Source organism: Homo sapiens, chromosome 16, assembly GCF_000001405.40.
Source record: "Homo sapiens chromosome 16, GRCh38.p14 Primary Assembly".
Taxonomy (NCBI): Eukaryota; Metazoa; Chordata; class Mammalia; order Primates; family Hominidae; genus Homo; species Homo sapiens.
Genome location: NC_000016.10, coordinates 74,408,220 through 74,435,572, shown reverse-complemented (window position 1 = coordinate 74,435,572; position 27,353 = coordinate 74,408,220). Strand labels below are relative to the sequence as shown.

At 52.9% G+C, this 27,353-nt stretch overlaps 1 protein-coding gene and 1 long non-coding RNA gene across 13 annotated transcripts, besides 1 other annotated feature; one reads left to right on the top strand and one right to left on the bottom strand.

Moving 5' to 3' along the window:
• LOC107984827 (uncharacterized) lies at positions 1 to 13,453 on the bottom strand. The gene is made up of 3 exons (XR_001752253.3): positions 13,131 to 13,453; positions 965 to 1,130; positions 1 to 403 (listed from the first exon to the last, which is right to left on the bottom strand). It is a non-coding gene; the product is annotated as an uncharacterized LOC107984827 (long non-coding RNA).
• Positions 3,811 to 4,364: an enhancer, noted in NCBI's record as "H3K27ac-H3K4me1 hESC enhancer chr16:74465107-74465660 (GRCh37/hg19 assembly coordinates)". NCBI's record gives its function as "activates a minimal SCP1, AML or CMV promoter by ChIP-STARR-seq in naive and primed H9 embryonic stem cells {active_cell/tissue: H9 hESC(naive and primed)}" and the evidence as "EXISTENCE:reporter gene assay evidence [ECO:0000049][PMID:30033119]".
• On the top strand, positions 11,324 to 26,942 carry CLEC18B (C-type lectin domain family 18 member B). 12 transcript variants are annotated; one of them, XM_047434174.1, is made up of 13 exons: positions 11,324 to 11,423; positions 14,197 to 14,426; positions 14,981 to 15,072; positions 17,275 to 17,514; positions 21,897 to 21,994; positions 22,415 to 22,536; positions 22,693 to 22,800; positions 23,327 to 23,419; positions 23,798 to 23,904; positions 24,539 to 24,668; positions 24,941 to 25,037; positions 25,932 to 26,023; positions 26,530 to 26,942. In XM_047434174.1, exons 2-13 carry the CDS (start codon positions 14,303 to 14,305, stop codon positions 26,565 to 26,567), a joined length of 1,341 nt encoding a protein of 446 aa, XP_047290130.1. In that variant the 5' UTR covers positions 11,324 to 11,423; positions 14,197 to 14,302; the 3' UTR covers positions 26,568 to 26,942. The 12 variants fall into 12 exon arrangements, with proteins under 12 accessions (XP_047290130.1, XP_047290129.1, XP_047290128.1 ...); XM_047434173.1 differs by having other exon boundaries at positions 14,176 to 14,426; XM_047434172.1 differs by lacking the exon at positions 11,324 to 11,423 and adding an exon at positions 13,432 to 13,651.

Below are 27,353 nucleotides of genomic sequence, written 5' to 3'. Positions count from 1 at the left end.
AAAATCTTGAAAACAGAGAAAACAACAAATTTAAGGCAGACAAGGATTTGAATGACTTGGACTTCTCATCAGAAATCATAGAGGCCAGTAGAACATCATTAGGGGTTGAAAGAAAAGAACTGTCAGCTCAAAATTCTATATCCACCAAATATATCATTCAAGAATGAAGGTGAAATTAAGACGTTTTCAGTTAAAGGAAAACTAACAGAAATGTAATTAGAGTATGTGGTATGCCTCAAGTAGTGATATTTGCATAATTAAAACAATGTAAACAATGAATATTGATTGAACCCCAGAAGGAAAAAACAATCAAATTTAAAGGATGGGTGGCAAGAGGGGCGATGAGTGTCTGTGTGGTCTGAAAGCAAAATCATCTTCCTAGTTAGTGGAGAATATCTGAAACCTGAAAACCAATAAAATAACAGTATGAGCATGAATTAATAGTTAATTACCATAAGAAAGAGCTCTAAGAGTTGAGAGTTATTACTCCTGAGGATTGAGAATTGCAAGGGTTTGGTGAGTCAGGGAGCTGCTGTTCATCATTATAAGCTTTGTAGTATTACTTGACTTCAAACTAGTATTTATATATCTGATAAAAATTAAATTCTAGCGGCCGGGCACAGTGGCTCACGCCTGTAATCCCAGCACTTTGGGAGGCTGAGGCAGGGGGATCACGAGGTCAGGAGATAGAGACCATCCTGGCTAACACGGTGAAACCCCATCTCTATTAAAACTGCAAAAAATTAGCAGGGTGTGGTGGCATGCACCTGTAGTCCCAGCTACTCATGAAGCTGAGGCAGGAGAATTGCTTGAACCCGGGAGGCAGAGGTTGTGGTGAGCCAAGATTACGCCACTGCACTCCAGCCTGGGCAACAGAGTGAGACTCCGTCTCAAAAAAATAATAATAAAAATAAATTCTAAAAATTAGCCACAAAAAGGTAGTGCCTTTAAGAAAAACACTAACCTGGTCCTATGTGAGTCAGCAGCCTTATTGGGTTGGATGGTCAGATGGGAGAACTAAGTTGCCCAAGGCTGGGCTGCTTCTCTGGAGAGCCCCTGTCATGGTTTCTCTCGGTGTCCCCATCCAAATCGCATCTCTAATTGTAATCCCCAGGTGTCGAGGGAGGGACCTGTAAGGAAGGGAAGGGAAATCATTGGATCATGGGGGCGGTTTCCCCCATGCTGTTCTTGTGATATGAGTGAGTTCTCACAAGATCTGATGGTTTTATAAAGCAGTTTTCCCTGCTCTGGCCGCCTTTTGCCTGCCACCATGTAAGATGTGCCTGCTTCCCCTTCCACCATGATTGTAAGTTTCCTGAGGCCTCCCCAGCCATACGGAACTGTGAGTCAATTAAACCTCTTTCATTTATAAACTGGTGCTGAGGGGTTCTGGGGCTGGAGGTTGCAGAAGGCTGCAGGCTGCACCCTGTCTACCTCTCTCGTTCTCTTGGCTCCTGACTGGATGAGTAGCTGCAGCTGGAGATCTGGAAGCCTGCCTGGAGGAGGAAAGCATGGCCTGGCTAGGCAAAGAGGATTTCACATCTGGGATGAGGTGTTGTACCAGATCATATGAAGAGAGTCTGTGCCTTATTTTATTACCTGAAGAATAGCGTTAACCCTTACTCCAAAGAGGATGGGGACCAGGCATTTATAAAGCATTTTGAGAAGAAAAAGTGGAGCCTGGAACAAGCAGTGTGTTGTGAGGCGCAGAGCTCTGGCACTAAGTGGACCTGGAGAGGAGAGGTCCTTTTCCTTGCCCGAGTCCTCACTTGCTGACGCTAGGATTTCTCCCTCCCATGATTCCACTAAGCTTTGGCTTAAAAGCTGTCAGGTAGTGGCTGGGTGCAGTGGCTCATGCCTATAATCCTAGCACTTTGGGAGGATGGCTTGAAGCCAGGAGTTCAAGACCAGCCTGAGCAACATAGTGAGACCTTGTCTCTACAAAAATTGAAAAGGAGCCAGGCACAGTGGCTCACGCCTGTAATCCCAGCACTTTGGGAGGCCAAGGCCAGTGGATCACCTGAGGTCAAGTGTTCGAGACCAGCCTGGCCAACATGGTGAAACCCTGTCTCTACTAAAAATACAAAAATTAGCTGGGCGTGGTGGTGCATGCCTGTAATCCCAGCTACTCGGGGGGCTGAGGCAAGAGAATCACATGAACCCGGGAGGCAGAGGTTGCAGTGAAGCAAGATTGCACCACTGCACTCCAGCCTGGGCAAAAGAGCAAGACTGTCTAAAAAAAAGAAAAGAAAAGAAATTAGCCAGGTGTGGTGTTGCACACCTGTAGTGTCAGCTACTCAAGAGGCTGGGGTGGGAGTGAGGCAGGATAGGTAGTTAAGGAAATGACCATGTTCTGGGAACGCAGCAAGCGTGGTGACTGTACAATCAACACAATAAGCCTCAGCATTCACATTGTAATCGAGCTCATTCAAGCAAAGCTGTCTTCAGTAGGCGATTGCCCCTGTAGAGAGCATGCACATTTTGATTTCACCTGTCCTCAAACCGACACACTGCTCATTTTAATAGTAAAAAATACACCCCTGGGTGGAGATTTAAGATGCTAAAGATGCCAGGTGCGGTGGCTCACACCTGTAATCCCAGCACTTTGGGAGGCCAAGGAGGGCAGGCCACTTGAGGTTGGAGTTCGAGACCAGCCTGGCTCTGCTAAAAGTACAAAAATTAGCCAGGGGTAGTGGCACGTGCTTGTAATCCCAGCTACTCAGGAAGCCGAGTCAGGAGAATTGCTTGAACTTGGGAAGTGGAGGTTGCAGTGAGCTGAGATCGCACTACTGCACTCCAGCCTCGGCGACAGAGTGAGATTCTGTCTCAAAAAAAAAAAAAGATGCTAAAGAGACATGCGATGTATAAACAAGCATGTACAACTACTGCACATGTGCACCAAGAAGACCACCCAGACCATGCCTACTAGTAACGCCTCTTCCCACCCACTTACGAATAATCATGAAAGGCTTCCAGAAAGGGAGCCTCCCTAGCGCCAGTCTTTGCTGTCTCATCCTTACGAATGCTGTTTCTCAGTGCACTGTCTATTCCATACTTAACTTTTTTTTTTTTTTTTTTTTTGAGATGCAGTCTTGCTCTGTTGGCCAGGCTGGAGTGCAGTGGCACGATCTCGGCTGACTGCAACCTCCGCCTCCTGTGTTCAAGCAATACTTCTGCCTCAGCCTCCCAAGTAGCTGGGACTACAGGCGCTTGCCACCATGCCCGGCTAATTTTTGTATTTTTAGTAGAGACGGCATTTCACCATATTGGCCAGGCTGGTCTCGAACTCCTGACCTTGTGATCCACCCGCCTCGGCCTCCCAAAGTGCTGGGATTACAGGCGTGAGCCACCATGCCCAGCCTATATATAGTTAACTTTCAAAATACTCTTTTCTTTACAGTAAATGACTCTATGCTGCACTTCTTTTGCTGTGTGTCTCTTGTTTAAATTCTTTTAAACCAAGAAGACAAGAACCAAGGCCTCACAATAGCTGTCAACAGGAGGGTCACTCCAGCCCAGGGGTCGAGGCTGCAGTGAGCTGTGATTGTGTCACTGCACTCCAGCCTGGGAGATAGAGTGAGATGCTGTTTTAAAAAAAACAAAAAAACAAAAAACTGCCCGGTAAAGGAGAATGTGGAATGGGTCACAAGTATGGGCTCTCCTCTCTGGATGAGACTCTAGCCAGCCTTCCCCATGTCTGCACCCTTTTCTGTGGCCAGCCGTCCTGGCCACCTTTGCTCTGCAAGGCTGGCAGCAGTTGGTCCCCGTGCAGATGGGCTGTGGAAGACTGGGCACAAAGCTTTCCTGTGAGGCTGCTGAAAGGTTCTAACCCAGACGATAGGTGCAGAGGTTGGGTGTTCAAACTGGTCACACAGTGGAGAGGTTCTGGAGCACAGCAGCAGAGTGGGCCAGCCAGTCTGAGGAGGAAATGAAGCACAAACTTCGAGCTACATGCAGGGCCCGGAAGATGCTGGAAAGCATAGGGCCCATGCTAGCCAATATCCCCAGGGGCCAGGAGGAGAGCTGCTCACATAGGATATGCACCCAGGGGCATGTCCTGGGCATGCAAAGATACCTCCCTGCAATCAGACCATTGCACCAACTCCCAGGCTGCATCCTAGAGGAAGTCTACACTAAGCCCACATAATTAGTAAACAGACACAAGGAGCTCGGTTAGAAGACATCAGTGCCAATGGCACTTGTGGACTCCAGCCCAGCGTTCATCACAAGCAACTGACCAACACACCTGGGCCTGGGTTATTTGCTTCTCGAGCTGAATGTTTCTGGGCCTCCTTGGGTCATTTCATTTTGCTCATCTCCAGTCATCTGTCACAACCTGGAAATCCAAGGGGATAGGCCATGCAGTTTGTCTTGCAAGAGTAATTTAAAAAGTAGGCTGGGTGCAGTGGCTCACACCTGTAATCCCAGCACTTTGGGAGGCCAAGATGGGTGGATCACCTGAGATTGGGAGTTCAAGATCAGCCTGGCCAACATAGTGAAACTCCGTCTGTACTAAAAATAAAAAAATTCAGCCAGGCGTGGTGTCAGGCACCTGTAATCCCAGCTACTTGGGACTTGGGAGGCTGAGGCAGGAGTACTGCTTCAACCCAGGAGGCGTAGGTTGCAATGAGCCGAGATCACACCATTGCACTCCAGCCTGGGTGACAAGAGGGAGACTTCATCTCAAAAAAAAAAAAAAAAAAAAAAGAAGGTAAAAAGCAGTTGTCATGTATGGGAAGATTTTTACAACAGGCCGCATATTTAATGTGCATTAGTTAAGTCTAAAAAAAAGGTGTGTCACTGCCCATTTTACAAGCAAGTAAGTGGATGCTGTGCTGGCTAATTTTATGTGTCAACTTTGCTAGGCTTTGGTGCCCAGACGTTTGGCAAACATCAGCCTAGATATTATTGTGAAGATACTTTTTGGATGTGATTAACATTTAAGTCAGTAGACTTTGAGTAAAGCAGTAAAGCCCTCCATAATATGGGTGGGCCTCACCCAATCAGTTGAAGACCTTAAGAGAAAAGACTAAAGTTCCCCCAGGAAGAAGGATTTTGGCTTCCAGACTGCCTTCAACTCAAGACGAGCAGCAACATCAACTCTTACCTGAGTTTCCAGCCTGCCCTGCAAATTTCAGACTTGCCGGTCTGCACAATCACGTGAGTCAATTCCTTATATAATTCTTCTCTATATAGAGAGAGACTAATACATACATCTGACAGTGTATCCAGAATATGTAAAGAAATCACACAGAGCAACAAAGAAAAGCCAGTGGAATCGATCTCCTGATGTTGTTGTTCGCAGGCCAGTAGGTGGCGCTGTGGCACGTGATCTGAGCCTCCTGGATTCACACAACTGTTCATGTGGAGAACCCAGTGCCGGGACACATTAGCACCCCAGTCAGGCTATGCGTCTCCCTCCCAAGGGTGCTCACCTGGTGTGGCCTCCATGGCACAGGGGGAGTGAGATGAGGCTCCTTTAGTACACCCTCCCTTGAGAAGAGCGACGTGTGCTTACCGTCCAGTGGCTTGTTCTCATGAAAGCCTCCACAGTTAGGGACCTTCAGATGCTTAGATCTGGGGTGTCACCTGACTCAAGCCCCTCAGAATCCCAGATTGTTGTGGTGGGTCAAGGGCATGGGGCTTTGGGTTTACTGGCCTGGGTCTGAATGCCAGCATTGCCTCTTCCTTGGTGTATACGACCTTGGGTGGTTACCTTTCCTAGGCCTCTGTTTACTTGTTTTAAAATGGACAGTGATGCCTACTTTATAGGGTTGTTATGAAACTCAAGTAATGAATATAAAATACTTGACCCAGACTGGCATGGTGGTTCACGCCTGTAATCCCAACACTGGGAGGCCAAGGTGGGAGGATCGCTTGAGCCCAGGAGTTCAAGACCAGCCTGGGCAACTTAGGGAGACCCCGTCTCTACCAAAAATAAAAAAATTAGCCAGGTATAATGGTGCGTGCCTGTAGTCCCAGCTACCCGGGAGGCTGAGGTGAAAGGATCGCTTCAGCCCAGAAGTTCAAGACTGCTATGAGCCGTGATCGTGCCACCGCACTCCAGCCTGGGTGACAGATCAAGGCCCTGTCTCAAAAAATAAATTAACAGGTCAGGCGCAGTGGCTCACACCTGTAATCCCAGCACTTTGGGAGGCTGAGGCAGGAGGATCGCTTGAGCCCAGGAGTTCAAGACAAGTCTGGGCAACTTAGGGAGACGCCGTCTCTACCAAAAATCAAAAAATTAGCCAGGTAGAGTGGTACGTGCCTATAGTCCCAGTTACCCGGGAGGCTGAGGTGAAAGGATCGCTTCAGCCCAGAAGTTCAAGACTGCAGTGAGCTATGATCGCGCCACTGCACTCCAGCCTGGGTGACAGATCAAGGCCCTGTCTCAAAAAATAATTAATTAAATACTTGACCCATTGCATGATCTTTCCATGCACGACAGCTGCTCTTCTATTATTCTTCCAGGATGAACTGCACAGCCTGCCCCCTTGGGTTTCCAGGTTGTGGGAGATGAGCAAAACTGAATGACCTCAGTAGGCCAAGAGCAAAGGATGTGGGTCCAGACCTGGTGGCCAGTTGCTTGTGACAGGAGCTGGGCTGGAGTCCCCAAGTGCCACTAGTGCTGACATCTTTTAACTGTGTTCATTGTGACTTGTTTATTTCTAAAAGTAACCACTGGTGCCTTGGTGCAGATGGAACTCCAGGTGCATGCGGTGAGTTAACCATGGTCTGGGGAGCTTTGTTTCCACGCCTAGGACATGCATCTGTGTGCATGATATGTGAGCTGATATAGCCATGCCTCTGGTGATTTGAACGCCTGCGCTTCCCAGCTGCTTCAGGGCCCTGAACATCGCTGGATGTTTGTACTTCATTCCCTCCTCAGCCCAGCTGGTCCCACTCCGCAGCTGTGCTCTAGGCATTTCATCTCAACTGGGTGATATATTTGAATACAGCAATTATAAGAACAGCAACCTCAGAAGAACATCTGGCATCCAGACCTCCCCAGCCTAGTTCCACAAGGTACCAACTTCCGTAAGCCTTGAAGAGCTAAGTAAGACATCTGGGCCGGGTGTGGTGGCTAATGCCTGTAATCCCAGCACTTTGGAAGGCCAAGGCGGGCAGATCACTTGAGGTCAGGAGTTCAAAACCAGTCTGGCCAACATGGTGAAACGCCATCTCTACTAAAAATACAAAAATTAGCCGGGTGTGGTAGTGCATATCTATAATCCCAGCTACTTGAGAGGCTGAAGGAGGAGAATCTCTTGAACCCGGGAGGCAGAGGTTGCAGTGAGCCAAGACCACACCACTGCACTCCAGCCTGGGCAACAGATCCCTTGGTATAGATACGGGGAGCTTGGGTGGTCTCATCACAGCAGAACCTCAGCTCTTGGCATGTTCTTTCCTTTGCTACCAGCTTTTGAAACTGAAGTGTAGCAGAGTCATGAACCAGACTTTGAAACATGAACCAGACAGAGAAACATTTTAAGAAGTAGCGGCTGACCAGGAGTTGGAGATTGCAGTGCACTATGATTGCACCTATGAATAGCCACTGCACTCCAGCCTGGGCAACATAGTGAGACCCCTATCTAAAAAAAAGAAAAAGAAGGGCCAGGCACGGTGGCTCATGATTGTAATCCCAGCACTTTGGGAGGCCAAGGCATGTGGATCACAAGGTCAGATCAAGACCATCCTGGCTCACACAGTGAAACCCCTTCTCTACTAAAGATACAAAAAATTAGCCGGGTGTGGTGGTGGGCGCCTGTAGTCCCGGCTACTCGGGAAGCTGAGGCAGGAGAATGGTGTAAACCCGGGAGGCGGAGCCGGGCGCGGTGGCTCACAACTGTAATGCCAGCGCTTTGGGAGGCCAAGGCAGGAGGATCGCTTGAGCCCAGGAGTTTTAGACCAGCCTAGACAACATGGCAAGACCCCGTCTCTACCAAAAATACAAAAAATTAGCCGGGCATGGTGGTGCATGCCCATAGTCCCAACTACCTGGGACGCTGAGGTGGGAGGATCACCTGAACCCCGGAGCCGTGAGCACACCACTGTACTCCAGCCTGGGTGACAGAGTGAGACCCTGTCTGGAAAAAAAAAAAAAGTAGCTGGGTATGGTGGCACGTGCCTATCATTCTACCTGCTCAGGAGGCTGAGGCATGAGGATGGCTTGAGCCCAGGAATTCGAGGCTACTCAGCAATTATGGTACCACTGCACTCCAGCCTGGGTGACAAAGTGAGACCCTCAAATAAAACAAAATAAATTGGCCATAAATGTAAGAGTTTTTTCCTGTATTGTTCATTCTGTTCCTTGATCTATATGTCTTGTCCTTTTTCCATATCTTATAGATGTGATTACTAGAAGTTTCATAGCAAGTTTTGAAATCAGGTAGTATACATTCTCCAGTTTTATTCTTTTTCAAATGTGTTTTGGTTATTCTAATTCCTTTGCGTTTCCATGCAAATTTTAAGATCCAGTTTTCAAATTTTTTTTGAGATGGATCTTGCTATATTGCCCAGGCTGGTCTCAAACTCCAGGGCTCAAGGGATCCTCTTGCCTCAGTCTCCCAAATAGCTGGGATTACAGGCGCATGCCACCAAACCTGGCCTCTCAATTGCTTTAAAATAAACACAACAACAACAAAAATCTTTTGGAAGTTTGATGGGCATTGCATTGAATTAATAGACAAATTTGGGGAGAATTACCATCTATCTTAACAATATTGAGTTTTCCCTGGCCAACATGGTGAAATCTGTCTCTACTAAAAATACAAAAATTGGCCAGGTGCAGTGGCTCATGCCTGTAATTTCAGCACTTTGGGAGGCCAAGGTGGGTGGCTCACTTGAGGTCAGGAGTTCAAGACCTGCCTGGCCAACATGGTAAAACCCTGTCTCTACTAAAAATACAAAAATTAGCCGGGTGTGGTGGCGGGTGCCTGTGATCCAAGCTACTTGGGAGGCTGAGGCAGGAGAATCACTTAAACCGAAGGGGTGGAAGTTGCAGTGAGCCCAGATCGCGCCACTGCACTCCAGCCTCAGTGACAGAGTGAGACTCTGTCTCAAAAAAAAAAAAAAAGAAAAGAAAAGAAAAAAAAGAAATTAGCTGGACATGGTGGCAGGTGCTTGTAATCTCAGCTACACGGGAGGTTGAGGCAGGAGAATCACTTGAACCCAGGAGGCAGAGGTTGCAGTAGGAAGAGATCACGCCACTGCAGTCCAGCCTGGATGAATGTGAAATGTCTATGCATTTTTTTAGATCTTTAGTTTCTCTCAGCAATGTTGTTTTACAGTTTTATGTGTATGGATTTTTTTTTTTTTTTTTTTTTTTGAGAATGAGTCACTCTGTCGCCTAGTCTGGAGTGCAGTGGCGCAATCTCGGCTCACTGTAACCTCCGCCTCCCGGGTTCAAGCAATTCTTCTGCCTCAGCCTCCTGAGTAGAGTAGCTGGGATTACAGTTGCCCACCACCACGCCTGGCTAATTTTTTGTATTTTTAGTAGAGATGAGGTTTCACCATGTTGGCCAGGCTGGTCTTGAACTCCTGACCTCAAGCAATCCATCTGCCTCGGTCTCGGAAAGTGCTGGGATTACAGATGTCAGCCACCGTGCCTGGCCATGTGTGGAACTGTTTCCTCAATTTCATTTTCGGATTGTTTATTGCCAATGTGTAGAAATGCAGTGGATTTTGGTATGTTAATTTTGTATTCTGAGACCTTTATTCTAGTAGGGTTTTTTTTTTTTTTTACACATTCCTTCGGATTTTCTACAGTAGAATTATGTCATCTGCAAATGAAGATAGTTTTACTTCTTTCTTTTCAGTGTGGATGCCTTTAATGTCTTTTTCTTAACTTATTGCACAAATTGCGCATTCAATAGTACAATGTTTAGTGGGACCGGTGACAAAAGACATCCTTGCCTTGTTTTGATCTTAGGGAGGAAAGTCTTTGGTCTCACTGTTAAGTGTGATATTAGCTGTACGTTTTGCGTAAGGGCTGTATTCGTTTGCTAGGACTGCCATACAAGGTACCACACACTGGGTGGCTTAAAAAACAGAATGTATTTTCTCAGAGTTCTGGAGGCATAAAGGCCAGGATCAAGGTGCCGGGGGGTTGGTTCCCTCTGAGGACCTCTTTCCTTGGCTTGTCTACAGCCGCCTTCTCCCTGTGTCTTCACAGGATCTTCCCTCTGTGTGTCTCTTCTTATAACGAGGCCAGTCAGACTGGATCAGGACCCACCCCAGTGACCTCATTTAACTTTAATTACCTCTTTAAAGACCCTATCTCTAAATACAGTGACACGGAGGTAATGGAGGTAGGGCTTCAACATACTAATATGGGGCTGGTTGTGGTGGCTCACGCCTATAATCCCAGCAGATGACTTGAGCTTTGAGACCAGCCTGGGCAACATGGTGAAGCCCCATCTCTACTAAAAATACAAAAATTACCTGGCATGGTGGCGCACACCCACAGTCCAGCTACTCAGGAGCTTGAGGTAGGAGGATGGCTTGAGCCTGGGATGTGGAGGTCAAAGCCCCAGAAGCAGAGGTCACAGTGAACCAAAATTGTGCCACTGCATTCCAGCTGGGCAACAGAGCCAGACTTCGTCTCAAGAAAAATTTAAAAATCAAATAGACATGATTTTTTTTTTTAGACAGAGTCTCATTCTGTTGCCCAGGCTGGAGTGCAGTGGTGTGATCTCAGCTCACTGCAACCTCTGTCTCCTGGGCTCAAGTGATTCTCATGCCTCAGCCTCCCAAGTAGCTGGGATTACAGGTGTGTTCCACCATACCCAGCTAATTTTTGTATTTTTAGTAGAGACGGGATTTTGCCATGTTGGCCAGGCTGGTCTCAAACTCCTGACCTCAGGTGATCCGCCCACCTCGGCCTCCCAAAGTGCTGGTACTACAGGCATGAGCCACTGCACCTGGCCTAATTTTTTTTTTCTTGAGACAGAATCTTGGTCTGTTACCCAGGCTAGTGTGTAGTGGCACGATTACAGCTCACTGCAGCCTTGACATCCCTGGCTCAGGCTATCCTCCCACCTCAGCCTCCCAGGTAGGTGGGACTATGGACACGTGCTACCACGCCCAGCTAATTTTTTGTATTTTTTTTAGAGACGGGGTTTCACCATGCTGCCCAGGCTGGTCTCAAACTCCTGAGATCAAGCAGTCCACCCAGCTTGGCCTCCCAAAGTGCTGGGATTATAGGTGTGAGTGAGCTACTACGCCTGTCCTGGACATGTAATTTTTAAAAGAAAATGTGGCCACAACTCTCCTAGAGTTAAATGGTTTTCTTTTTGTTTTTTTTTTGTTTTTTTTTTTTGAGACCATCAACAAGATTTCAAGGCTTTGAAGAAAGGAGCTGCTTCAGGAAGAGACAAAATGACTCGAACGCTATAACCTTCAAATGCAGACTGGGAGAAGAGGTATCAGCTATGCATGAGCTGGAGAGGGGTGGGATAGATAGAGACACAGGTGATAAAGAAAATATAGCAAAATGTGAATCCTACAGTCTGGGTGGTGGATGTAAACCCTGTAGTAGCCTCACCTGGGGAAAGCTGCCTTGCAAGAATGAGGCTGCCCATTCTCCAAACCCACCCCAGCCACCGAGCAGGCTCCACTAAAAAGTCTGAACCCAGGAGGGAGTACCATGGAAACCAAGTTGCAATGCCCTGGTTAGGGGCCCAGCAGAGGGGTCATCCCAGCTCTACGCCATTGGATACTGAGCTTCAGGAGTGGGAGTGCCATCCTCAGGGTCACACAGCGTGTCGGTTCCAGCCTAGGTCTTCCAGTGTCTCATTAATCTTTTATCCACTCAGCTTCTCTTCTGGCCCATGAACCTTGCTCTCCTGGGACTCTTTTTTTTTTTTTTTGAGGGGTCGGGGGTGGGACAGAGTCTCGCTCTGTTGCCCAGGATGGAGTGCAATGGTGCCATCTTGCTTCACTGCAACCTCCGCCTCCCAGATTCAAGCAATTCTCCTGCCTCAGCCTACCGAGTAGCTGGGACTACAGGCACCCACCACCCTGCCCAGCTAATTTTTGTATTTTTAGTAGAGACAGGATTTCACCATGTTGGCCAGGCTGGTCTCAAGCTCCTGACCTCAAGTGATCCGCCTGCCTTGGCCTCCCAGAGTTCTGGGATTACAGGCATGAGCCATCACACCCGGCCTGGGACTCTTCTTGCAGTGAGCCAGGGCCATGGGACCCTTCAAAAGTTGCTCCACCCTAATCCCCAAAATATCTTTTTCTCCCGCCTGTCCCAAGTGCCTGGCATCATACTATATGGGTCAACTGGCCGTGTTTGCCATGGAAGCCCAATTGTAGGAAGTGGGTCTTTTATCACCCGGCATAGCAGAGCTGTGGAAACTGCACTGGGAAAGATCAGGATGTGAATTAAAGCGTTGGGAATGGGAAGGCAGAGACCTTGGATTAGCTGGGATGCTCCATGCACTCGCTGAGTGACCTTGGACAAGCCCCTTAGACACACTAAGCCCGTTTCCTCATCTACACGACGGGCATCCCATCTGCTACTGCACCAGGTTCTTGTGGCAATAACTTGAACTCACACATGCAAACAGGCTTTGTGAGCTCCATAAACACAGGTGGCTCGGCCAGGTGTGGTGGCTCATGCCTGCAACCCCAGCACTTTGGGAGGCCAAGGTGGGAAGATCCCTTGAGCCCAGGAGTTGGAGACCAGCCTGGGCAAGACGATGAAATCCTGTCTCTACCAAAAAAAATAATAATAATTAGCCAGGCATGGTGGCACACACCTGGTCCCAGCTACTTGGGAGGCTGAGGTGGAAGGATCACTTGGGCCCAAGAGGTCAAGGCTGCAGTGAGCTGAGATTATAACACTCCAACCTGAGTGGCAGAATGAAACTGTCTAAAAAATAAAAATAAAAATACATCAAAAAACAGGTAGCTATTAAGCATTGCTAGGACCCACACGCAGTGACCCTGAGGGTGCTGGGTTTCTGTTTGAGGGAGAAGAAACTCCTGAGCCCCTAGGTATTGTGGGGGACATGCAGTTCCAGACCGCCTTCATGGCCTGTATGCCTGGCCTCATCCCCATCCCTGGCACCCATGACGATAGCCACATTCCACTGGTGTTTCCCCAGGAAAGCCAACCCTACCTGCATCTCAGCAGAGCTTCCACGGAGTTGGAACCCCGCTCCGAGAGGGTGTGGGCTCAGGGGCCAGGGGTCACACAAACTCCAGAAGGAGGACGTAGTTGGTTTGCAAGGCTGTCCTTTGCCCTGGTTGAATAACCTTCGGTCTGCCCCGAGAGGAACGTGGGCATTAGGCTGCAGCCCGCAGGAAGCCATGTATTTTCTGAGAAACTTGGCCCATGGTGCAGATCTGCTCCAGCTCACTCTGGTGGGATCACGCCAGCCACGGCCGGGCCACGGCACATCATGGCAACGTGCTGCCCACCTGCTACGCCGCCTGTTTTTCTAGAGGCGGACGTGATCCCAGCAGGACTGGAGTCAGCCCAGGGCATCACGTGCTCTGGTCCCCGCCTGCTTTGACTCCTCCTGCCTCACTCCCCCCCTGGCCTGTAGTCACGTGGGTGAGGGTGGTGGGCACCGGGGCTGGGCCCAGCCCCCGACCCTGCCCAGACAGACTTTCCTAAGGCACCCTTTTCCTCGTGCAGGTGCGGCCTCAGCCCACCCCCCTTTGAGCCCACAGATTGCACCCCTCTGGTGTGCGGTTACCTCTTGCCTATGTTTAATTCATGGCTGGGGGGTTGGGACGAGCTTCCCAAGAAAGGAAAGAACTCCCCTGGGGTCTTGCCCAGTTCCTGCTCACCAGAAGGACCATAGCCGAGGTCCTCCTCCCAGGGCCCGGGGCTGGGGAGCGGAAGCCATCAGTGGGCTCGGAGGACACTGTCCCAGCCAGGACACGGCCATCGGTCACTAATCTGCAGCACCGGAATGTCCCCAGGCCAATCAGCGGGGTCTCTGGGGGCTCCCCAAGGGTGCTAATAATCCCACAATGATTAGCAGGGGCCGCGGGGCAGTGCACGCCACTCTGCCTGCTGTCGGGGGCGGGCTGGCCAGGCCGAGGCCGGAGCAGGCAGGCATCCCCGGGAGTTGTCTCTTTTCATGCCAGCGCCAACAGGAGGCTGTCTGGACACACTGATTACTCACTCACCAGCCTCCTTCTTTTGTTCACCAGCCCCCCTCTTTTGTCCACCAGCCCAGCCTGACTCCTGGAGATTGTGAATAGCTCCATCCAGCCTGAGAAACAAGCCGGGTGGCTGAGCCAGGCTGTGCACGGAGCGCCTGACGGGCCCAACAGACCCATGCTGCATCCAGAGACCTCCCCTGGCCGGGGGCATCTCCTGGCTGTGCTCCTGGCCCTCCTTGGCACCACCTGGGCAGAGGTGTGGCCACCCCAGCTGCAGGAGCAGGCTCCGATGGCCGGAGGTAAGGGACACCTGGTGAGGAGGTAGGTGGAGGCACCATTATGAGCTCTGAGGAGTGGGTGCTAGGAGACTTCTGGAAGCCCGGTCCCAGGCCTGAGCCCCAGGCCGTGCGGGTGGTTTAATGAGGAAGCCCTGGGACAGCCCGGGGGCGGTGAGGGGTGGATGCTGGACTGGGGAGGAAGGAGGAGGAAGGAGGAGGAAGGAGGACCAGGGCTGGGGTCAAGGAGGAACGCCGAGGAGCGCTGTGGCTGGGGCCTGGAGAAATCCGTGGCCCGGAGGAGCCCCAGACAGGGGCCTGCGGGAGCCAGGGCTGGCCCCTACACCCAGCCCGCACCGCTGTTCCCTCCCGCCACCCCAACCCCAGCACTCAGCCCACGCCTGCTGTACCTGGTCTCTCTCTCAGCCTCGCTCCATTGCTATGCCCCACGTCCCCTGCACCCACCACACTCCTCTCCCATCTTGTTTTCCAAGGGCAGGGACACATGCTTATTCTGCCGTGTGTTGGGTTCAGGTCCCCCCATCCTCGGGCTGCCTGACCTTCTCTCCCCACCCCAGCCCTGAACAGGAAGGAGAGTTTCTTGCTCCTCTCCCTGCACAACCGCCTGCGCAGCTGGGTCCAGCCCCCTGCGGCTGACATGCGGAGGCTGGTGAGTACCCGACCCAGCTGGGCTCTGCCAGGGGGGTGGCCGGAGGCGCGGACCCCAGAGGGCGGCTCAGGAGGCCACGCCTGTCCAGGTGCCCTTCCACTTGACCAGGGTGGGCAGGCACAGCCAGCCACCTTGCCCCTGAGGGACGGAGGCCCTGGTTGCTGGGGGTCTCTGCAGTTTCTTAACCCCCCACCCTCAGTTCAGGAGGTCGGGCCCCTTGGCTCCCACTCGCCTGAAGGGCAGGACCTTGGGCCTTCCCTGGCATCTTGTTGCCACAGAGACCAGGAGCCACAGGAGGAGCCGGATCCCCTCCTCCAGGGAAGGGGAGCTTCACGAGGAGCCCTGCAGGATGGGCGGCCGGGCCAGGGAGGGAGAAGGTCGTGCTGGGCTGGGGAGGGGCTTCTGTGCGGCAAGGACCCAGCGCCTCCTCCTGAGCTTATCTGAGCCACTAGGACGGGCCTTGCCCATGTTCTCTGCTCACTCACTCGTCCACATTTTCCACATTTTCAGCAGGGGCCAGGGGTCGGGGGTATAGAGTTCCCCACCAGCCCGGCTGGGGCTGCGGGGTTGGGACTGTCATCTGGAGGCTCAGAAACGCTGCCCTCCATTGTCTGGGACCCCAGCAGCCCCAGCCCATGTTAGCAGGCCAGGGAGCCAGGGCAGGGTGGTGGGGGCGGGAGGGTTCCCCATGGCTGCTTCCCATGAACTCCTCCAAGGCAGGTGGCCACAGTGGCGACCTTGAACACTCTAGGGTCAGTTTCCCAGGAGGTGGGGGTGGGGTGGCTAAATGCGGGGGGTCGCTTCTCCCCCATTCCCAGCCCTGAGTGGCTCTGCCTCTCCTCAGGCTCAGACCCTGGGCAACCAGGGGTGCTCCCAGCTGTGACCTCCGTGGTTGGGTACTCCTGCCTGGGACCCCAGGAGGGGCTGCGGTGGTCGTTGGCTGGCAGCTGGCACCCTTTCCAGGGCCCTTTTGTCAAAGTCTTAGAAAACTTCATTTCCATAAAGGTGCAAATGGAGCTCCATGGCTCAGCCTCCCTCGTGGCCCGGCCCCGAGCACCCTCCGGGCCTCTAGGGCTCCAGGGCACCCCTTCTTTGGACACAGTGGAGACTGAAGGTCTTGTGGGGGTGGAGGGCTGCTGAGGGACCCCGGGGAGCCCCCAGCTCCTGGCCCCAGCCTTCATCAGAGGTAAAACCCCGATGGACATTAGTGCAGGATGAAGTTGGCTTGGGGTGCAGCCCCGAGGGGCCCCCCTCCCTGCATCCACTCTGTGCTTGTGAGTCCTATCCTGCAGGCACCTCCCTGCTCCGTTTACAGATGAGCTCAGGGAGTCTCGGGAGATCAGGGGACTGCACCAAGTCACCCAGGGGTGGTGATTGCCAGGCCCCTTGTTTAAGAAGAGGGAGGGGGCTGGGCACGGTGGCTCACACCTGTAATCCCAGCACTCTGGGAGGCTGACACAAGCAGATCACCTAAGGTCAGCAGTTTGACACCAGCAATGGCCAACATGGTGAAACCCCGTCTCTACTAAAAATACAAAAATTAGCCAGGTGTGGTGTCACATGGCTGTAATCCCAGCTGCTTGGGAGGCTGAGGCAGGAGAATTGCTTGAACCTGGGAGGCGGAGGTTGCAGTAAGCCGGGATTTCTCCACTGCACTCCAGCCTGGGCGACAGGGTGAGACTCTGTCTCAAAAAAAAAAAAGAAGAGGGAGGGGGCGGGGTCAGCTGTGCGTGGTGGGGAGCATATGAGGCCAGGCTCCTGGGGGCAGGAGACTAGGGCAGAGAGGTGTGGCTGTAGGGCTTTTTGCATCACAGGAGGGCAGCATGGCCGGGTGGGAGCAGTGGAGCCTTTCTGACAATGGCCAGGGCCCAAACACAGAACCAGTCTGCAACGCGTGGGCACTGCTCACATGACCAGATGGGAGAAAGACAGCAGGAGCGGGTCCCACTGCCTGGGCAGGGCCGAAGGATGCCCACGACAGGATTTGGAGATGGAGGCTCAGTCGTGAGAGGAGCTGGGCTCCTCCTGGAGGGACATCAGACAACACCAGTGCTTCCTCCAGCAGGACTCCTCATCCAGTGCTCTCTTTGCCACCTGACCTGGCACCCGGTGGATGCTCAGAGATGGCAGGGGAGTTGAATCTTTGAGGCCTGGCCCAGCAGTCAAAGGCCTCCCACAGATGTCTGTTTGTGCTGCCCCCAGGACTGGAGTGACAGCCTGGCCCAACTGGCTCAAGCCAGGGCAGCCCTCTGTGGAATCCCAACCCCGAGCCTGGCGTCCGGCCTGTGGCGCACCCTGCAAGTGGGCTGGAACATGCAGCTGCTGCCCGCGGGCTTGGCGTCCTTTGTTGAAGTGGTCAGCCTGTGGTTTGCAGAGGGGCAGCGGTACAGCCACGCGGCAGGAGAGTGTGCTCGCAACGCCACCTGCACCCACTACACGCAGGTGAGTGTGCTGCAGGTGAGGCCAGCGTGCCAGCTCCCAGATACAGACTTCCACTGGGCCATCTCAGAAGAGGCTACAGTTTGTCCTAAATGTTGGGATTCCTTTTCCTCCAATTGGTTTAGTTTTACTTTTTTTTTTTTTGATACGGAGTCTTGCTGTGTTGCGCAGGCTAGAGTGCAGTGGCGTGATCTCGGCTCACTGCAACCTCCGCCTCCTGGGCTCAAGTGATTCTTGTACTTCAGCCTCCTGACTAGCTGGGACTACAGGCATGTGCCACCAGGCCTGGCTAATGGCTTTATACTTTTAGTAGAGATAGGGTTTTACCATGTTGGCCAGGTTGGTCTTGAACTCCTGGCCTCAAGTGATCCACCCACCTCAGCCTCCCAAAGTGCTGGGATTACAGGCGTGAGCCACTGTGCCCCGCCACATTTTTTCTTTTTTTGGAGACATGGTCTCAGTCTGTCACCCCAGGCTGGAGTGCAGTGGCGTGATCTCAGCTTACTGCAACCTCCGTCTCCTAGATTCAAGCGATTCTTGTGCCTCAGCCTCACAAGTAGCTGGGATTACAGGTGTGCGCCTCTACACCCAGCTCATTTTTTTGTATTTTTAGTAGAGACAGGGTTTCACCATGTTGGCCAGGCTGGTCTCGAACTCCTGACCTCAAATGATCTGCCTGCCTCAGCCTCCCAAAGTGCTGGGGTTACAGGCGTGAGCCACCATGCCTGGCCTAAGCCACTTTTTTTCAATCTGAAATATAAATAATTTCAAACATAAACGTATTTATTTATTTATTTGAGACGAAGTCTTGTTCTGTCACCCAGGATGGAGTGCAATGGCTTGATCTCGGTTCACTAGAACCTCTGCCTCCCAGATTCAGGTGACTGTCCTGCCTCAGCCTCCCAAGTAGCTGGGACTACAGGCACGAGCCACCACACCCCACTAATTTTTGTATTTTTAGTAGAGATAGGGTTTCACCATGTTGGCCAGGCTGGGTCTCAAACTCCTGACCTCAAGTGATCCACCTGCGTGGGCCTCCCAAAGTGCTGGGATTACACGTGTGAGACACCGCACCCAGCCTCAAACATAAATTTAAAACGGCCCCACTCTTACCCACTACCTAGGTTTAGAAGATGCTACTAAACTAAAGCCCTGCTCCTCCCCTTTTCCCGCTGTCCCTCCCTGGAGGGAATCTTCCCAAAGTTCAGGAGCATCACTGCCAAGCAAGTTTCCATTTTTTCTCTTCATTCAACAAATATTTGTTGAGGGTCTTCTACACACACCTGGTGCTCTTCAGATGCACTGAAAAACACAAGCAAAATCCCAGGAAATATTTAATACCTCCACTACCTGTGCAAGTGGGTTGTGCATGTTTAAATATTACACAAGGCTGGGTGCGGTGGCTCACGCCCGTAATCCCAGCACTTTGGGAGGCCAAGGTGGCAGGATTGCCTGAGCCCGGGAGTTCGAGACCAGCCTGGGCCACATGGAAAAAACCTGCCTCTACAAAAAAATACATAAATTACCCAGGTGTGATGGTGTGCGCCTGTAGTTCCAGCTACTTGGGAGGCTGAGGTAGGAGAATTGCTGGAGCCTGGGAGGTGAAGATTGCAGTGAGCTGAGACTGCGCCATTGCACTCCAGCCTGGGCAGCAGGAGTAAAACCCTGGCTCAGTAAAAAGAAGAACATGTGCCCCTACAACTAGGTGCTGCCAAAGTGCTTACGCCAACTGTGCAGACCAGCAAACCAGTTCCCACTTCCCGAAGATCTTCTGGCTCCTTAATTTTTTTTTTTTTTTTGAGACGGAGTCTCGCTCTGTCGCGCAGGCTGCTGTGCAGTGGTGCGATCTCGGCTCACTGCAAGCTCCGCCTCCTGGGTTCACACCATTCTCCTGCCTCAGCCTCCCTAGTAGCTGGGACTGCAGGCACACGCCACCACACCCGGCTATTTTTTTGTATTTTGTTTAGTAGAGACAGGGTTTCACCGTATTAGCCAGGGTGGTCTTGATCTCCTGACCTCATGATCCGCCTGCCTCGGCCTCCCAGAGTGCTGGGATTACAGGCGTGAGCCACTGTGCCCAGCCTTGGCTCCTTAAGTTTTGTCAGACTCAAAGGTGTGAAAAACCTAACTCTGTTTTGTTGTTGGTGGTTGTTTTTTGTTTGTTTTGTTTTTGTTTTTGTTTTTTCGATTCAGAGTCTTGCTCTGTTGCCCAGGCCAGAGTGCAGTGGTGCGATCACAGCTCACTACAACCTCCGCCTCCCCAGTTCAAGAGATTCTCCTGCGTCAGCCTCCTGAGTAGCTGGGATTACAGGCGCCTGCCACCACACCTGGCTAATTTTTGTATTTTTAGTACTCCGGACGTCAGGTAATCCACCTGCCTCGGCCTCCCAAACTGTTGGGATTACAGGCTTGAGCCACCACGCCCAGCCTCTATTATTGTTTCTAATTTTCTTGATGTGAATGTTTAGATCATTAATTTTAAATCTTTTTTTGTTTCTACTATATACATTTAAAGCTATAAATTTCCCTTTAAACGATTTCAGCTGCATCCAATAAGTTTTGATGTTTTTTCTATTTCCAATCATGATGTTGTTTTTGTTTGTTTTGAGACATGGTCTGGCTCTGTCGCCCAGGCTGGAGTGCAGTGGTGCAATCTCAGCTCACTGCAGCCTCAATTTCCTGGGCTCAGGTGATCTTCTCACCTCAGGTCCGGAGTAGCTGGGACTACAGGTGTGTGCCACCATGCCTGGCTAATTTTTTGTATTTGTAATAGAGATGGGGTTTTGCCATGTTGGCCAGGCTGATCTTGAACTTCTGAACTCACATGATCCACCCAACTCAGCCTCCCAAAGTGCTGGGATTACAGATGTGAACCACCACACCTGGCCATGATGTTGTTTTAGATTTTGAAGTGTATCTTTAAGTTTCTAAACTATGTTATCTTCTCTATTTACTTGTAAATTATTTACTTTAAATTTCATTGCATTGAATTCATAGAATGTGGGCTGTAGGATGTGCTGATTCTTTGCTATTTGTTGAAACTTGCTTAGTGGTCTAATGTATGGTCCTCCTTTCTGGTTTGCAAAAGTCCCATGCATTCCTAAAAATGATACATATTCTTTAAGTGTTGGATACATGTATATGATCACATGTTCACATCTGCCTGCTACAAGCCAGTCTTGTACATGTCATTTTTAGTCTCTACTGGAGAGTTTGTTTCACTCTTCTTATATATTGCCCATTTGTGCTATTTCCAAGCTGTTGCTGATTCTAAGACTTTAAACTGGTTTGCAGACCTGTATCCATTAGGTTTTATTGCATGACATACTACCCCAAAATTTAGCAGCTTACGATTCTGCAGGTCAGCCACTTGGGTTGGGCTCAGCAGGGAGGTTTTCTGGTCTTGGCTGGGCCCACTCATACACCTGCAATCAACTAGGGGGCCGGCTGGGAGCTGGCTGTGCAAAAAGGCCTCTAATGGTTCATCTCTGTTCCATGAGGCCTTCCAAACTCCTATACTGAGTTTGTTCATGTGGTGACTGAGCATGGTTCTATGAGAATGAGTGGAAATGGCAAGGTCTCTTAAGGCCTAGGTTCAAAATCGGCTCAGTATCACTTCTGTGGCATTCTGGTGGCCAAACCAGTTACAGAGCCAGCCAGATTCAAGGAGCAAGGAAAGAGACACCTCTCTTTGCTGCAAAAAGCTGCAGAGTCACATTTAAAGGAGTGGCCTACTGCAAGAAATGAATGGTTGTGGTCACCATGCAGTCACAAGGCCCTTGACGTTCCAGTCTTTTTTTGGCTACTCCCCTCCACCCATCAACAATCTCCCCTCATTTCAGGTACCTCCCCTCTCCATCCCCCTCTCAACTAAGAAAGCCTTCCTAGGCTGGGCACGGTGGCTCACACCTATAATCCCAGCACTTTGGGAGGCCGAGGCAAGCAGTTCACCTGAGGTCGGGAGTTCAAGACCAGCCTGACCAACATGGAGAAGCCCTGTCTCTACTAAAAATACAAAAAAATTAACCGGGCATGGTGGCAGTCGCCTGTAATCCTAGCTACTCGGGAGGCTGAGGCAGGAGAATCACATGAACCCAGGAGGTAGAGGTTGTGGTGAGCCAAGATCAGGCCATTGCACTCCAGCCTGGGCAACAAGAGCAAAACTCCATCTCAAAAATAAATAAATAAATAAATAAATAAATAAATAAATAAGCCTTCCTGAACTATTCCCACCCATGCTTCTACCCCTGCCCAGGACAGCTGCTGCTCCTGAGCCCTCGAAGAGGTAAGGGAGCCCTCTGTTCGCCTGGATGATAGCGAAAGCTGTGTCCCCCTCCCCAGGGGTGGTTCACAATAGGGTTTCTGATCCCCTGTGTCTCCTGTAGCTCGTGTGGGCCACCTCAAGCCAGCTGGGCTGTGGGCGGCACCTGTGCTCTGCAGGCCAGACAGCGATAGAAGCCTTTGTCTGTGCCTACTCCCCCGGGTAAGCCCTGCTACACCTTCTGCTGGGATGTCTGGGAGACAGGGAGGGGTGCTTTCACCGAGGGTGAGATTCCCACACATCCACCCGAAAGTAGAGTCCCTGATGCCTTGCTCTGCACCCTTGGTGGGAGAGGGGAGGAGAGGAAAGGCAGAGGGTGCTAAAGATTCTGGCCACGCAGAAGGTGCTGCTCTGCGGATGTCCCTTCCTGGATACTGGTCCTGGTATCAGGGAGTTTGTCCAGGATTGGTTTGGAGGCCATCTCTTCTCTCCCAGGGAATCTCCCTATCTCACCCAGCTCCCTGACTCCCTGGCCTGGCCGCAGGAGCTGAAGGGGCCAGGGAGGTAGGCAGCAGGGCCCTGCCACTGCCTTGCCCAAGGCCAGGCCCTCCCACACCCTGTGGTGCCTGCTCGTCCTCACAGAGGCAACTGGGAGGTCAACGGGAAGACAATCATCCCCTATAAGAAGGGTGCCTGGTGTTCGCTCTGCACAGCCAGTGTCTCAGGCTGCTTCAAAGCCTGGGACCATGCAGGGGGGCTCTGTGGTGAGTGCATGAGGGCTCAGTCTGGTGACCCTGGGGTGGGGGTGGTAGCATCCTACTGGGCTGTCCCAGAAGCCCTGGCCCTTAGCACCCAGGGAGGTCCTGCCCGGCCTGCTGGGAGGCGACCCTTTTCTCAGAGTCCCCTCCTCCTCTGACCAGAGGTCCCCAGGAATCCTTGTCGCATGAGCTGCCAGAACCATGGACGTCTCAACATCAGCACCTGCCACTGCCACTGTCCCCCTGGCTACACGGGCAGATACTGCCAAGGTGAGGGCACTGGAGCCTGGGTGTGCCCAGCCCTGCTCTCGTGGCAGGTCCTAGGGCTGCTACACTTCCTGAGAGTCTCAAGGGTGTCAGAGGTGCTGACTGTGTACTCCCTGAGTCTGCCCACTGCATACATTCTTTCAACAAGCATTCACTGAGCACTAGCTGTTTGCCGGACCCTGAGCTGTGCAGGAGATTCAAAGTGAAATCAGGTTCAGCCCCTTAGGCTCTGGGAGGAGGACAGAATTAGGACCCAGAAGTGGATTCTTGCCCTACTGCCCCTCTACCCTAACCCACTCTGTGACCATGGGCAGGTCACCTCCCAAACTCCAATATGCCTCACTCTGCAATGGGGACCAAACCAAAGACACCAGGCGTGCCAGCAATCGGAAGCCTTGGTGGGTTCTGTCTCTGGGAGGGGTATTCTTGCTGTGGTTGGCATTCCCTGGATGTTCGAGGCCTCTGGGGGGCAGCGTGGGGTCCAGAAGGCTGGGGGCTGAGCCTCTGCCCCACTGCCCTGCCCTGGCAGTGAGGTGCAGCCTGCAGTGTGTGCACGGCCGGTTCCGGGAGGAGGAGTGCTCGTGCGTCTGTGACATCGGCTACGGGGGAGCCCAGTGTGCCAGTGAGTCCTGCCCCAGGGCCCCCAAAGAGCCAGCTCCTCTCAAGACCCCCCTTCAATGGGGCATCAGCTCCCAGGAGCCCGCTGTGTGCCTCTCTTTCCAACTCATTCAGTGACAACACGTTGAGATCTTGAAACTGGCCACAGCATGGATATTTACACCAAAGAAATTGGCAAATGCTATAAACCATGGATTTTTTTTTTCTTTTGAGAGAGAGCAAGCTCAATATTCCAACTGACCAGCTCACTCCTGACCCTCACCACCCACTCTTTTGGAGCAGGTGGCCAGAGGAAGGGGCACCCTGAGCTTAGCTCCCCGGCAGGGCAGGAAAGGGCAGGGATTCTGAAGTCCACACACAAACTCAGGCTCCCCTACCCCAGCCAAGGTGCATTTTCCCTTCCACACCTGTGACCTGAGGATCGACGGAGACTGCTTCATGGTGTCTTCAGAGGCAGACACCTATTACAGAGCCAGGATGAAATGTCAGGTGACAGTCACCCCTAGCTTCCTAGGAACCCCCTAGGGCCTCAAGTGAGGGTCTTAATGCAGGGACCCTGGAGTGAGAGGTGGTTCCTTCAACGTCTCTGACCTCACCCTATTCATCAGCATAAAGCAGGGGTCGTGGACTCCAAGGCTCATAGAAGCCAGGAGGTCACTTATTGACCTGAGGGGCCAAGGTCAAGACCAACCTCCATCTAAGGGAGTTCCAGCCACTGGTTGCCTTGCAGGAATGCAAGGTCAGGGTGGCCAGAGCTCGGGGTTGTTCAAGAAAACCAGCAACCCAGACTTCCACTGGCAACTCTCGAAACCACAATTAATTACTGGGGTTGGCAATCAACTCGGATATATTTAAGACACTGTGCAGGTGAAACAGAACCTCCTCAGGGGCCAGACCTTGCCTGGGCTTGTGGGCTGCTGGTCGCGCCCCTGTGCACAGGGAGAAGAGAAGCAGACGGGAGCAGAAGGGACCCCTGCTCTTGGAAGGGAGGCTGTGCGGGCTGGGGGTGATGATAGCCCGGCCAGCACACACACGTGGCATCTTAGGCCATGGGCAGGGGTGGCAGGAAGGGGCAGCCTGGGCTCTGGGAGACTTGCCTGTGTGACCCAGGGTGGGGTTACAGAGGAAAGGCGGGGTGCTGGCCCAGATCAAGAGCCAGAAAGTGCAGGACATCCTCGCCTTCTATCTGGGCCGCCTGGAGACCACCAACGAGGTGATTGACAGTGACTTCGAGACCAGGAACTTCTGGATCGGTGAGTGCCCAGCTGATTGGGGGTATGGCGAGTAAGGGGTTGTGATGCCCCACCCTGCTGCAGGAACCCTGGGCCATGGCGGCTGCCAGCAGATGGCAAGGGTGTGTTGAGGGCCTGGAGCCCAGAGCGGGGCCAGCTGCTCACCCCCTTTCCCGGGGAGGGCCCAGGTAGGGAGCACATGGGGGCTGCCAGCGCTGGGAAGAGGGGCCAGAAAGGCAGCTGGCAGCAGACTCCAGGGTCTGAGTGGGCCAACCTTGACTACCCCGGCCCAGGGCTCACCTACAAGACCGCCAAGGACTCCTTCCGCTGGGCCACAGGGGAGCACCAGGCCTTCACCAGTTTTGCCTTTGGGCAGCCTGACAACCACGGGTAAGTGTGGGGTGCCTCCCTCCCCTGGGCCTCCTTCTCACTTGGGCCTGCCTGGTGGAGCCCCCCCATCCCGCTGCCTGGCTGGGCCCTTTGAGGGTCTGATCCTTCCCTGGTGCCTGCCCAGGTGCCAGAGAGTTGTGGGCACAGCTGGTGTGGGCCGGTGGTGGGGTGAGGGAGATGCAAGCCGGAAGGCACGTCACGTGGGGGAGAGAGGGACCCAGGAAGCCTCCATCCATCTGTCCATCCCCAGTGTCCCCTGGCTGTGACTCCATCCCTCCAATTCTCATCCACTCACCCCTCCCTCTGCATGCCCTCTGCCTGCATCAGTTACACTGATGCCAGCATTCCTTAGCTGTCACCCACCTGCACTCATTCACAATACAACCCTGCACCTGCAGACCCACCAGCCATCCTGTAGCAAGAACCCTCTGGTCACGTGGCCCCACCCTGCTCTTCAAAGCCCAGCAATGCCCAGGGCCAGGGTGGAGGTGGTCCGGCTGCGAGGCCACCAAGGGCTCCAGCGATTTCAGCCAGCCCTCCTTGCCAACAGCCGGCCTGTGCCCCTGGCCTCTTGCCTGGAGGAAGTCTGGGCCTTGTTGGGTTCCCAGGTGTACCTCTCAAGTGGGCTGTCTATTCCAATCCCCACCATCCCCACAGGCTGGTGTGGCTGAGTGCTGCCATGGGGTAGGCAGAGCTGTTAACCCAGGAAGGGGCTTCCCTGAGAAGTGGAGCAGGGCTGGGGGCTTGGGGACGGGCCTGGCTCCCAGCAGCCCCGTCGGCAGGTGGGGGCACTGGAGCCCCTGAGATGCAGGGTCCTGATGGGTGGAGGGCTTAGGCCTCTCCCGGATCCCTGACTTCACTCTTGCCTCCTGACCACCACACCCTGGCCTGCAGGTTTGGCAACTGCGTGGAGCTGCAGGCTTCAGCTGCCTTCAACTGGAACGACCAGCGCTGCAAAACCCGAAACCGTTACATCTGCCAGTTTGGTGAGGGACTTCCTGAGGCTCCCCTTCTCTGATCCCTGACCCTGGGAGTGCTGCTGACCCGGTCCAGCCTGCAAGGGTATCTAGGTGGCAGGTTCAGAGTGGGTCTGGGCACACGGGGCCATAGAGGATGCCCTGTTGATGGCCTTGTACCTGTGGGCTCCTGAGCCCAGAGGGGCAATGACGGGCCCAGCTTCATACAGCAAGGCCACGCAGGAAGGACTAGAGCTACAGCTCTGCAGGGGATTTCTCCAAGGACCCTCTCCTGTCATGAAAGCTGCTTCCTGGGAACCTGTTGGGTTCCTTGGTGTTCCCGGGAGCCCCATGAACTGTGGTGGAGGCGGAGGTGAAACCTAGCATGGCACCAGCTCCCAGCAGCCTCTGCTAGGAAGGCCTGGAGCGCCACAGGGACCACGGCCATGGGCACTTCCAGACCGAGTGCAACAGGGCTGCCATCTTGGGACTGCCTGGGCTGCCATCGAGCCCTGCTCTCTTCTGCTTCCTTCCAGCCCAGGAGCACATCTCCCGGTGGGGCCCAGGGTCCTGAGGCCTGACCACATGGCTCCCTCGCCTGCCCTGGGAGCACCGGCTCTGCTTACCTGTCTGCCCACCTGTCTGGAACAAGGGCCAGGTTAAGACCACATGCCTCATGTCCAAAGAGGTCTCAGACCTTGCACAATGCCAGAAGTTGGGCAGAGAGAGGCAGGGAGGCCAGTGAGGGCCAGGGAGTGAGTGTTAGAAGAAGCTGGGGCCCTTCGCCTGCTTTTGATTGGGAAGATGGGCTTCAATTAGATGGCGAAGGAGAGGACACCGCCAGTGGTCCAAAAAGGCTGCTCTCTTCCACCTGGCCCAGACCCTGTGGGGCAGCGGAGCTTCCCTGTGGCATGAACCCCACGGGGTATTAAATTATGAATCAGCTGAACCTGTGCATGCTCATTTCAAAGGGAAATTCAGATGATCCAGGATGACCCTGGAGAGACCAGAGGGGGCCTGAGGCTTCACTGCAGCGGCCTCCACCCACCTATTCCCTTTCCTGGTCACCTTCATGGTCCAGGACACTCTCTGGAAGTTCTGGGTCTCCCCAAGAAGAGGAAGACCAGACTCTGCCTCAGTGAGGGGCAGTTCTCATGGCTGGGGCCCAGGCAGGCAGGGTATTAATAGAAGTTGCTCTGAATGTCTGGGAGACGACGCGTGTGTGTTGCCCCCACCGGCGGAGTGTCATCGCACCAGGGCCAATGGTAGTCAGAGCCTGTGCAGTCCCGCTCCCTCACCCAGCTCCTCAGACATCACCCACAAGGGGTTATCACTGTCCCAGTTTACAGCGGAAGAAATG